This window comes from Homo sapiens, chromosome 13 (genome assembly GCF_000001405.40).
Source record: "Homo sapiens chromosome 13, GRCh38.p14 Primary Assembly".
Lineage (NCBI taxonomy): Eukaryota > Metazoa > Chordata > Mammalia > Primates > Hominidae > Homo > Homo sapiens.
Genome location: NC_000013.11, coordinates 63,181,394 through 63,194,554, shown reverse-complemented (window position 1 = coordinate 63,194,554; position 13,161 = coordinate 63,181,394). Strand labels below are relative to the sequence as shown.

Sequence of the window (13,161 nt, the reverse complement as noted above, 5' to 3'; positions counted from 1 at the left end):
TCATAAATTTACTTTTCATTTAGGTATTGAATCCACCTGGAATTTCCTTGTGTTTATGGTTCAAGGTAGGAGTCAAATTTCATTGTTTCCATATAGAAATCTGATATTGCCAGTAAATTTTATTGAAATGACCAACAAATGATTATTGATATCCTGTACCATCGCTGCCATAAATGAAGTGTCCATATATGCATAGGTTTATTTGGGGAGGTATTCTCTGACATCCTGCATTTTCATGGTTTGCATCAGTTTATCAATTTCTACTCAAAACTTTGGGATTTTAACTGAGACTGAAGTGAAACTATAAATAAATTGCAGGAAAAATGGCACATTTATATTCTTGTGTTTACTAACCCATGATGTAAAATGTCTTTTTTGCAAATTTTTTCTATATGTGTATTCTCTGGAAGAATTTAAGTATTGCATATACATTATTTTATTTGAAATTTAATTTTTTAAATCACAAAACATAAATTTTTATTTAATTCAGTTTATATATATTCTATTTTACACTTTGTAAACCCAATGAAGTTTTAAGGTTACCATATATATAAACCACATGTGATTGTATTGTGTATATATATATATATATATATATATCACATACACTCTCATATTGTATATGGTATACACAATCACATATATACTCATATATATATACTCATATATACTCATATACATATTCATATATATACTCTCATATATATACATACTCATATATATATATGAGTTAAGATAGTGCAACATTCCATTTCCTTCTGGTTTACCAATCTCACTACCGTTCATTTAAATGTAATCTACGCCTCCACCCTCACCTCATCCTTGACTGTAGGATTTTCTCTTGCTTTTCTGCAGTGAAGTTTCTCTTTTTGGTGTAGATTTTTAAAAATTTGTTCTATTTGAATTTATTGGATTCCTAAACCTATGAATTGCTAGGTTTTTCTAATTATAGAAAATAAAGAAGTATCTTCAATGTTGATAGACTGGATTTGCCCCAACTCCTGTTTTTCTCCTGAGACCAGCTATGCTTTTGATGCTTTCAATTTTTTTTACATTATTACTCTCTTTCAAATTTTCTTTTATCTTAATCTATATATGCTTCATTCTGGATAATTCCTGATCTATCTTCTGGTAAACTAATTCTATCTTCTGAGTTTCAAAATATGTCCAGTGGGTTTTTAGATATTGCATTTTTTACTTTCTAGGAGAGTCACTTTCAGTTTTCTTTTTATGAAAACTAGGTTCTCACTTATTTCTTTCCTTTAACATGGCAAACATGTTTTAATAAGCAGATTTCTTTAATTATCTTTCAAATATAGTCTGGTTATTGCTTGGGGAGTAGATTGATAGTAATAAGTTAAAATTCCAAAGATAATTCAACAAATTCTAATACAGATACACTTCTAATTTTGGCAGTATGGTTGACAAAATATTCTAAAAAACTTTCTGCTCAACTGCAACATAATTATGAACATATTACCATAGGAAAAAAAACATACTTTTTAAAGAATTGATTTTCTGTTGAGAAAATGAGTGAACACTTCAAGAATAAAAATAAAAACAATAAAACAAGCTAAAAATTAAAATGAGAAGCATAACTGTCAGGTCATGCACTGTTTTAATTGTGTCAGCTTTAACATCTGCAAACATAGAAATATAATTTATCATACTAACTGTTCAAAGGAATAATATATAAAATCATCTTTACACATGTAGAAAACCACTGACTCAATTTTTTAAAGGTCCTTAGCAAACTAGAAATAAAAGAAATTCCTTAACCTAATGAACAAGTATATTTTAAAATTTTAACATTTATAATATGTCACAAGCAAAATCTGTTTATATTTATGGACAATGTTAGAATGCCTACTGATAATGGATTTACTCAATTTTCATGGAAAGCCCTAGCAAATAAAATAAAACAAGATTTTAAATGTGAGATTTTGGAAATGAAGGGGCAAATCTGTCATTCCTTAAAGATGGTGTGACTATCTACATAGTAAAAGCCAAAGCAATCTACTGAGAAAATATTAAAGTTTAGAAAAAAATTATCAAGGGTGATGGGATAAATGGTGAATAAAAATAAATTTGCAAAAATTAAATTTAAAAGGTAAAATTATAGTTTTTAAAATTGGATAATTAAATCTCATAAAAATGCACAGTTCTTTGATGAAGCAAAAATATAACTTATTGAAAGACATTTCAAAACAAATTAAATAGAAGAATATGCCAAATTAAAATAAAGAATCAATAATTAAAAATTTTAATTTACCCAATTATATCCATAGTTTTATTGCTATGCCAATCACATTTTTCATTTTTTTGTACAAATTGATAAGACGATTCTACATATTTGTAGAAGTACAAAGGGCCAAGGATTTCCAAGTCTCTCCTGAAGAGAAATATTGATATTGGAATGAACTGCTTTACCTGAGACCAAGAACTATTATAAAGCTAGTACAATTGGTATAGCAAAAACAAACAAACAAACAAACACACAAAAATTGTAATTAAGACAGTTCATTTGAGAGAGAACTCATTATATTAACCAATAAAACCATTCAGAAAGGACAGGAAGGGTCTCATGAACATACAAAAATTCATTACCTGAACATAGAAGAACAAATCAGATTGGGAAGTGTGCATTGTTTAACAAATAGTGTTGAGCTCACTAGGGTGAAATGAACCACATCTCTACCACACCACATTCAAAAGAAAGTCCATACTTAGTATGGAAAACAAAGCTTGCAAAGTGTTATAAAACAGTACTGGAGATGATATTAGTAAAATAAAAGATGAGAATGGAATTTTTTTTTTTTTTTAAGACCAAGTCTTGCTCTTGTTCTCCAGGCTGGAGTGCAATGGCCATGATTTTGGCTCACTGCAAACTCTGCCTCCCGGGTTCAAGGGATTCTCCTTCCTCAGCCTCCCCAGTAGCTTGGATTACAGGTGCCTGCCACCATGTCCGGCTAATTTTTGTATTTTTAGTAGAGACGGGGTTGCACCATGTTGTCTAGGCTGGTCTCGAACTCCTGACCTCAGGTGATCCGCACGCCTCGGCCTCCCAAAGTGCTGGGATTACAGGCGTGAGCCAATGCTCCCGGCCGAGAATAATTTATTTTTTAAAGCCTAAATATACTATCCTCCAAAAGAAAAGAGATACATGTGTCTACATTGAAATTACATAGCCATTTATCAAAGGACACCATAAAGGAAAAAAAAAAGAGAGAAACTATCAACTGAAAAAGATATTTGCAAAATATATAACTGAAAAATGACAATTTTATCAAAATGTATAATAATGCATACAAGTAAATGAGATAGTCACGAAAACACAGTAGAGAAATGAAGAAAAGACATGAACAGAAATCTCAGAAAAGAGTAATATAAATGGGAATTATTTACATAGGAAGATGCTTTTTAGTAGTAATTTATAAAGTAATAATTAAGATTCCAATAAACCAATACTTTATAACAAAAGAGCAGCAAAAGATTAGAAATTTGACAGCAATTTATCCTTGCTCCTCAAGGAAGGGATAGGTTTGATGTAATCAACCTGGCATCCAGTAGATCTTGGGGAACTGAGTCATTTTGATGGCATTTGCGGCAGGCAAGCTGGAAAATTCCACACTGGCAAAAATTAGACCAGCTTTGGTGAGATAAAGCTCATGCTCTGTGTGCATTCTGTGTCTGTAAATTAATAAATGTTAGACAGTCGTGAGAGAGGCAGTGATTTTCCACTGCGGGAGCAGACATCAGTCTTCGGATAGCCAGCCTCAAAAATTGTGTCAGTAATATCCTGTCGGTTATTAATCTTTATCCCATGAATTTTGTAAAGTATTGGCCATCGTTACACATTCTTTTGGGTCAAGCCACTCTGATGGCCACTTCAGTTTTTCCACAATTTCAGTAATTACATCCATTTAGCCTCTTATGGTTAAGTGCTGTCACCTGGTCTGCCATTCTGAAAACCATTATCCTCACTGATATTTCAGAGCCAATTTCCATTTTAGCATTTCCTACAAAACAGCCCCTGTAGGGCTTCTCTATTATCTTAATGAGGATCGGATAACAGAGCCAAGTGGTAACTTTCAGTACAAAATAAATTCTTTCTAACATTAGTACCTCCCTGAGCCTTTGATCCCTTCCTTAATACTATTTTAAGAAAGTTCTAGCATCTTCTCCTTTTACTAAATGCTGTCCTCATGGCCAAGCATCAAAGAGCCACTCCAGCATAAATAACTTTCAGCCTCAGATTTTCTTGCCAGAATATTGAATGCTGACTCATTGATCATTTTCCCCTGTCAAGAAGTTCTCGCTTCTCTAGCCTTCTATTCTGCACTCTTCTGTCTAGTCAGACAGCCTTAAGATTATAAGATCCACTCTCAAAAGTTCTTCCTAGATTCCTACTGGTATGTGTTATGCACAATTTACAATTCAGTTAGTATCTAGGACTTTCTTCTTTGAGCAGAGACTGTACATCCTTGCTTGGTCTCTTCTCAGCCCTGAATTATAAGCTTGAGTCATGGCGGGGCATCATCTTTAAAAGGACAAGTAAAATTCTGAGAGACACCTACCTCTGGTAAGAACCTTGCAGGAACTCAAGTGAGGGAAGATTGCGCTCTTCTGTTAGGTTGGTGCAAAAGTAATTGCGGTTTTTGCCATTAAAAGTAATATTGGGGCCGGGAGTGGTGGTTCATGCCTTTATCCCAGCACTCTGGGAGGCCGAGGCAGGCGGATCACCTGAGGTTAGGCATTCAAGACCAGCCTGGCCAACATGGAAAAAACCCGTCTCTACTAAAAATACACAAAAAAAATTAGCCGGGTGCGGTGGTGCATTCCTGTAGTCCCAGCTACTGGGCAGGCTGAGGCAGGAGAATCGCTTGAACCCGGGAGGGAGAGGTTGCAGTGAGCCAAGATCACGCCACTGCACTCCAGCCGTGGAGGCAGAGTGAGACTCCATGTCACACACACACACACACACACACACACACACACACACACACACACACACAAAATTAAGATTGGGGCTACTTCTGTGAGACGAAGGTTCAAAGGAAACTTGTGTTTTAAGATTCCCAGTGAAATCTTTCAATGTTTCCTTTTCCATATTTTGTCAATTTTATCCATCTGAAATGTCTTAAATATCAACTGGCATTGTCATTTTTCCTCCATCATGTTTTTTATTTCATACTGTTGGTCTATTTATAATTTATAATACATTTTAGTATATTTTTCAGTTATACCTTCCAATTCCTATCTTTTGTGTTGTGTCTACACTACTCCCTTAGCTCGCTTAGAGAGTTTTTCTTTAAATTATTATATTATTTAAATTTCAGTGACTATATTTTAAAAAACTTAACCATAGTAATAAATGTACAGAACTAAACATTTAAGATTTAACTTCCTTTTTATGACAAAAGATAGACCTGTACACTTTCCCAATCCCAAACATTATCCTATTATCAGGATAAAAATTTTGGCAAATTTTTATTTTTTATTTGCTAAGTAGTTTATATAGCTAGTTTGTCTTTTAGTTGCTAATAATTAGTTCTGTTACATTGCAATTCCCTTACTTTCTATACCACGTAACTCCAAATACTAAATTTTAATTAAATTAATAGAATTTTAAGATCACTATGGGTTATATAAATATTATTCATTACTATGATTACTTTATTATGCATTATTTTACTATTTATAGTTAATGCTTATTTTTTATTTGCATAAGTGTAAAAGTTATAGTTCTTTTATTTCCAGTTGTTCCAAAAATCTAATATGGTGTTTCAACGTGGGGTCTCTAGACCAACAAGCAGCATCAGCATAGCCTTAGAATTTGTTTAATATACAAATTATCTGGCCTTCACTAAGATTTATTGGGTCATTGATAAGGGGTGAATCTTTGTTTACCCCCAAATTTATATGTTGAAATATTAACTCCAAATGTAATGATATTAGAAGGTAGGATCTACAGGAGGTAATTTGGTAATGAAGGCCCTCCCCTCATAAATGGCACCAGTGCCTCTATAAAAGGGACCCTAGTCAACAGTAGGGAACCTGGAACAGGGCAGAACCTAACAGTGCTAGCACAGTGATCTCAGACTGTTAGCCTCCAGAACTGTGAGAAATGCATTTCTATTTTGTGTAAGACACCTAATTTATGAAACTTTGTTATAGCTGCCAGAGCTGATTAAGATAGTCAGAAATAGAATGGGGCCTACATTCCATTTTACATTCTTAAAAAACCCTCTAGGGGAATTTTTTCATGTTCATTTTTCCTAATGTATTCCTCAAAGCTCAAATTGATCAGAAATGCTTCACGTTTCTGCCTTTCACCCCCGGAGATCGAAACACACTATCCTTCTTTCTGCTGCTATCTGAGCTGATTTTTAAAAAAATAAGTGCACACGAGACATTCAAATACTTCCCTGTGCTATCATCCTTAATTCTTACTGGGCCTGTTGACTCCCAGATCCCATGACTTCCAATCCCTTCTTGTTTGTGGTTAATATTTTTGTTTTACTAAATCATATGCTCTGAAAATTACCTAAATATATATTGAATTAATACATGGGAATAATTTTATTACTTTTTTTGTTGTTGTTTTTAGAAGTGTAGTATTCTTGGTTGAAAAATTAACTCACGTAGAAATTTGCAGTATTGTTGCATTGTTTTCTAGAATATATTGACCTTATAAAAGTCAGAAAAGATCTTTATTTCAATCGTTTATTTGTATGCCTGGAAGTTGTTTAATGTCTTTCATTTTACCCTGATGTTATATGTAATATCATTGTCAGAGGTGTTTGAACCAGAGCAACTCCATCTTGAATAGGGACTGGGTAAAATAAGGCTGAGACTTGCTGGACTGCATTCCCAATAGTTGAGGCATTCTTTGTAACAGAATGAGACAGGAGGTCAGCACAAGAAAGAGGTCACAAAGACCTTGCTGATAAAGCAGCTTGCAGCAAAGAAGCCAGCCAAAACTCACCAAAACCAAGATGGAGATGAAAGTGACTACTAGTTGCCCCATTGCTCATTATGCACTAACTATAATGCATTAGCATGCTAAAAGACACTCCCATCAGCACCATGACTATTTACAAATGTCATGGCAACCTCAGGAAGTTACTTTATATGTCTAAAAAAAAGGGAGGAACTCTCAGTTCCGGAAATTGCCCACCACCTTCCTGGGAAACTGATGAATAATCCACCACTTCTTTAGTGTATAATCAAGAAATAACTGTAAGTATAATCAGTGGAGCAGCCCATGCTGCTGCTCTAACTATGGAGTAGCTATTCTTTATTCCTTTGCTTTCTTAATAAACTTGCTTTCAATTTACTCTATGGATTCACCCTGAATTTTTTTTTTTTTTTTTGCGATATCCAAGAACCCTCTCTTGGGGTCTGAATCACGACTCCTTTCTGGTAATATTATGATCATGTTACAAGTCAGATCATGTGACCTGTAACAGATTTTTGTTTGTTTCTTGTTCTGTCCATTTTCTTGTCTCAAAAATCCTGCTTTTTCTTTTCACTACAACTAATAATTTACACAGAAATAATATTTTATAATTACTTTTTTAGATTTGAAAAGATAATATTTCTATTTTTTGTAAGAATAAGAAGTTAAAGTCTCTTTAACCATTTTAACAGAGTACAGGATGCTGTTAACATTTCATTGTATAATAAGAATATAAGTAACAGATAATTTATATGATTTCCTAAGGATATGGAAAGAGAGAATTCAGATAGACTCATCACCGTCTTTTCCATTTGCCATAGTGTTGTCATAATTTCTATTGATATTATTGTTGAAAGTAAATGAAATACAAAATTCCTAAAGATCTATACTTGGCTCCCAAATTTGACATTTTTTGTTAGAACACTTCTTTAGGACTTCTATGGAAAAAAATACCAAAATAACCAGAACATTATTTCTCTCTTGTGTTAGTTAATCAAACTCTATTGGATGCTATTACTTGTGACCAAAAATGTGAAAATCTTCAAAAAATTATTTAAAGTTATTATAACTAGTATAATGTATATTGTTCTGTATAAATAGTATGTGAATACATTTAAATACATTATAGCAAACATTTATTACATTCTCCAAATAAAAATATTTTTGTTTCAAAGTTTAATTTTTAAGTAACCAATATCTTCCAACATATATAATTGAATGTGTGTTTCAGAAATAATATAGTCTGTCAAAAGGTTTATCCCTTTGTTAGACTTATGAATAGATTCAGTTTTATGCTCTGTATAAGAACTCAATAAGGAGAATACTTAATCTTATTAGAAGGAATTTCAAGATAATTACTAAACACCTAGAAATACAAAGAAATCTAAAAAACTACTGGGTCACCTGCCAGTTTCAACATACATGAATACATGAGTATTGCTTTTCTTGACATCAAAGACATCTTTATGTTCATAGAGTGGTGTGATAAAGTGAAAAAACCTGACAGCAGAAAACTTAACTAAGCAAAATATATTGAGAAGAAGAAACATTTCAAAAAGAACTTTTAAAGAATACATAGTTAAGCAGAGAAGCTTTAAATAGATGAAACATTTAATTATAAATTGATTCACATTACTGACTCTTTACCCTCTACTTTAATTCTTTAAACTTCTTGTACACTGATTATGCTCATATTAAGAAACTGTGCTGTTATTATCTTTTCCTAATTATTATTTGACATTCTTCCTTTTTTTTTCAAGAGACAGGGTCTTGCTTTGTCACCCAGGCTGGAGTGCAATGGCTTGATCATAGTTCACTGCAGCCTTCTACTCCAGGGATCAAGGAATCCTCCCACCACAGCCTCTCATGTAGTGAGGATTACAGGTGCACACCACCATGCCCAGTTGTTTTTTAAAAAAATTGTAGAGATAGGGTCTTGCTATGTTGCCCAGCCTGGTCTGGAACTCCTAACTTTATGCAATCCTTCGTTATTGGCCTCTCAAATCGCTGGGATTACAGGCATGAGCCACCACGTCCAGCCTATTTGACATTCTTTAAAAAATTTAAGAATTAAATTTTCTAACTAAAATATATTAATTGAGTAATAATAGAAACATTTTCCACTTCCAGTTTATCAAATGTTGTTTTTTTCTCTTTATTACTTCCTTTTAGATTTTTCTCATTACCTTATAATCTCAATTTATAATCATATAAATTATGTTACTCATATTCTTATTATACAGTGAATTTTAACAGCATCCTGTACTCTGTTAAAATGGTTAAAGAGACTTAACTTCTTAATAAAAGAGATAATATATCTTTATGTGCCAGATACAGGACAAATTACCATATTATGGAAAAAATACTTTTTTTTCCAAATAAAGAAATGTGTGTAAAATAGTGATTATGAAACCAATCACTTTTTCCTTTTTGTTTCTTCCAAAATAATATAAAATTATATATGATACATATAAATCATACATATATGTTTATATACGTGCATGCATACATATATAAATAGTGCCTACTGCTGTTTTACAAACAGCCTCAAAATCTAGTGACTTAAATGATAACGATTGAGTATTCCCCATCATTTTGTGAATTGGCTGCATGATGCTCTGGTGACCTAGTCTGTGCTCATTCCTATGGCTGTGGCCAGCTTGCTGGTTGGCTGGAGCTAGATGCCTGAGATGGTTTTACTCATGTGTTTGGAATCTTGGGGGTGGGGCGGGGATGACTGGGCCTTATTCTCCATGTGGGTCTTCATTATGTGCTTCATAATAGCATAATGGTCTCAGATTACCAAAAGAACAAGAGTTAAAACTGGAAAGTTCTCTTGACACTGAGACTCAGAAATCACCCACCATTATTTCACTTTGTTTTATTGATTACTGTTATTCACAGGGACAGTTCAGATTCAAGGGAAGTAAATCTACCAAACGATGGAAGAATCAAAAAAGAATTTGTAACCTTTTTTAATCCACACAATTCTAACTTCCATTACTTATATCATCTTTTGTAAATTTATAATCAAAGTAAATATAATCAAAGGTTTGTTTATATTTATTTTAATATAGCATACCTATAAAAATAAGTTCATAATGTGATACCAAAAATTAATGTTTGGAATTTGTTTATATCATATATGATTTGTAGATATACTATACTTATTAAAGATGATAACATTTAATATTAGATCAACTTTTGAAGAGAATCATGAACTATTGTTAAACCATGTATTATTTTGCTAACCTCATAAACATCATATGGGCAGAGATAATGAGTTTCTATTTGGTGAACTGTGACTAAAAATGTACAGTGTAGGCACCCTGGTAATCTATTTATAATCAAAACAAAGAGCAAGATCTAATTTTTTTAAAAATAATTAAAATGTAAATTACTAAATAGTGAGAGCTTCTTTTATTTAATTATCTTTCCTTCTTTTAAATATCACATATGCTGCTTAGCTAGCAAAGACAAAATTAGCACAGATTTATATACATATATAGAGAGACATATACACACACACACACACACATATATGGAGAGAGAGAGAGAGAGGATAATGCTTGGAAAAGAGATAATGACCTTTGTAAAAAACCTAGTAAAATTAATACCAATAAATTCAGACTTTAAAAACTGATTGTTAAAAAAATAGGTTAATAACAAACCACGTGTGTTTATTTTGTGAATAGCAACCAGAATTATTTATCAGATGTAAGTAAAATTAATGTTATATTTTTATTTATGCATTTCTTTTATTTTTAATTTGTAAAAGTTTGGCACAAAGGCAATTATACTCTATGAAGAAGGTGACATAATTTAATTATTGAAATAAATCAAAATAAATATTTAAGTAAATAGTAATTTGATTTCTGTACCATACAGGAGTTTTTTAGTGTCATAACTTAAAAATACATAGATTTCTGTCCCACTTAAAAATGCATGAGAAAAGATTTTTCATAAAGTTGCTTCTAAACAAATCATTGTATATGTAAACAAATATTTATACATTCAGTTAATATTTTGGGGTACTTAAATGTGGTAGGCATTGTTTTAAACACTGAGGAAAGGAGAGAGAGATTGAGTGTGTGTGTCTATGTGTTTATATGGTCGAAAGTTAAATATAACATGCATTTTTGGCACATGAGTTGAAACAGGTCTATAATATGCACAAGCACAACTCAAACACAATCTGTATTAGGTCTTTCTTCTATGCAGACTCACCTTCTTTATTTACTAACCAAAACCCTGTTATTTTCTAGCTGTTCGTGAGTATTATACCACTTGACGACTGAGGCAGAATCAAAGAAAGTACTAATGCTCTTCAGTAAAATATACAAAACTACAGACAATGGCAGTGCCTTATTTTGTAAAGTATATAGCTATGAGCCTTTGCTACTCCTTGCTGACATTTGGAATTTAACTGAAGTGTCTTGTTAAAAAACATTTATGGAAATAAAAAGAATATCTTTCCTTTTTAGGGATATAAATTAAACTCAATTTTATTGGTCAAGGACTATGGTATAAGGCCATTTTAATAAAGGCATAACTAATCTTATCACCATCATTTAGTTACTACTGGAGATCACAATTCAATTAACTCATAGATATGAAACATCATTAGATATTCATAAAGAGGGCTGCAAAGCAAATCAACTTAAATGTTAAAGCAGAAGAGTAAGTTACAAGTTTTAGCATTGATTTTCAAAGTTTGCCCCTATTGTTGCTGTGGGCCTAGAATTTTGCATTTAGCTTTGTAAGGATTGAGTACAGACATTTTAATGGAAAACTTTACAACTTATATTCTATATTTTTATTTGGCAGAAATTTATTGAGTGTCTGCTATGTGCAAGACACTGCGTTAGGAGTTTGTATTAGTCCATTTTCACAATGCTATAAACAACTGCATGAGACTGGGTAATTTATAATGAAAAGAGGTTTAATTGACTCACAGTTCCACATGGCTAGAAGGCCTCAGGAAACTTACAATCATGGCAAAAGGGGAAGCAGGCACCTTCTTCAGAAGGTGGCAGGAGAGAGAAAACAAAGAAAGAACTTGCAAACACTTACAAAACTATCATATCTCATGAGAATTAATTCACTATCATGAGAACAGCATAGGTGAAACCACCTCCATGATTTAATTACCTTCCTCCCAGTTTAAACCATAAGCTTAGAACTGATCTGGATCCCTGAGGAATTGCCACACTGACTTCCACAATGGTTGAACTAGTTTACAGTCCAACCAACAGTGTAAAAGTGTTCCTATTTCTCCACATCCTCTCCAGCACCTGTTGTTTCCTGACTTTTTAATGATCGCCATTCTAACTGGTCTGAGATGGTATCTCATTGTGGTTTTGACTTGCATTTCTCTGATGGCCAGTGATGATGAGCATTTTTTCATGTGTCTTTTGGCTGCATAAATGTCTTCTTTTGAGAAGTGTCTGTTCATATCCTTCGCCCATTTTTCATGGGGTTGTTGGTTTTTTCCTTGTAAATTTGTTTGAGTTCATTGTAGATTCTGGATATGAGCCCTTTGTCAGATGAGTAGGTTGCGAAAATTTTCTCCCATTTTGTGGGTTGCCTGTTCACTCTGATGGTAGTTTCTTTTGCTGTGCAGAAGCTCTTTAGTTTAATTAGATCTTATTTGTCAATGTTGGCTTTTGTTGCCATTGCTTTTGGTGTTTTAGACATGAAGTCCTTGCTCATGCCTATGTCCTGAATGGCATTGCCTAGGTTTTCTTCTAGGGTTTTTATGGTTTTAGGTCTGACATGTAAGTCTTTAATCCATCTTGAATTAATTTTTGTATAAGGTGTAAGGAAGGGATCCAGTTTCAGCTTTCTACATATGGGTAGCCAGTTTTCCCAGCACCATTTTTTAAATAGGGAATCCTTCCCCATTTCTTCTTTTTGTCAGGTTTGTCAAAGATCAGATAGTTGTAGATATGTGGCATTATTTCTGAGGGCTCTGTTCTGTTCCATTGGTCTATATCTCTGTTTTGGTACCAGTACTGTGCTGTTTTGGTTAGTGTAGTCTTGTAGTATAGTTTGAAGTCAGCATGATTCCTCCAGCTTTGTTCTATTGGCTTAGGATTGATTTGGCAATGCGGGCTCCTTTTTGGTTCCATATGAACTTTAAAGTAGTTTTTTCCCAATTCTGTGAAGAAAGTCATTGGTAGCTTCATGGGAATGGCGTT

The 13,161-nt window shown here is 32.9% G+C and overlaps 1 long non-coding RNA gene across 1 annotated transcript in view; it reads left to right on the top strand.

The window, feature by feature from the left end:
* Positions 1-11,454, top strand: part of LINC00376 (long intergenic non-protein coding RNA 376) — a 144,994-nt gene extending 133,540 nt beyond the window's left edge. The window contains exons 6-7 of the long non-coding RNA NR_126409.1: positions 24-65; positions 11,227-11,454. This is a non-coding gene — a long non-coding RNA (long intergenic non-protein coding RNA 376). The remainder of the gene's footprint in view (positions 1-23; positions 66-11,226) is intronic.
* The last annotated feature ends 1,707 nt before the right edge of the window (positions 11,455-13,161 follow it).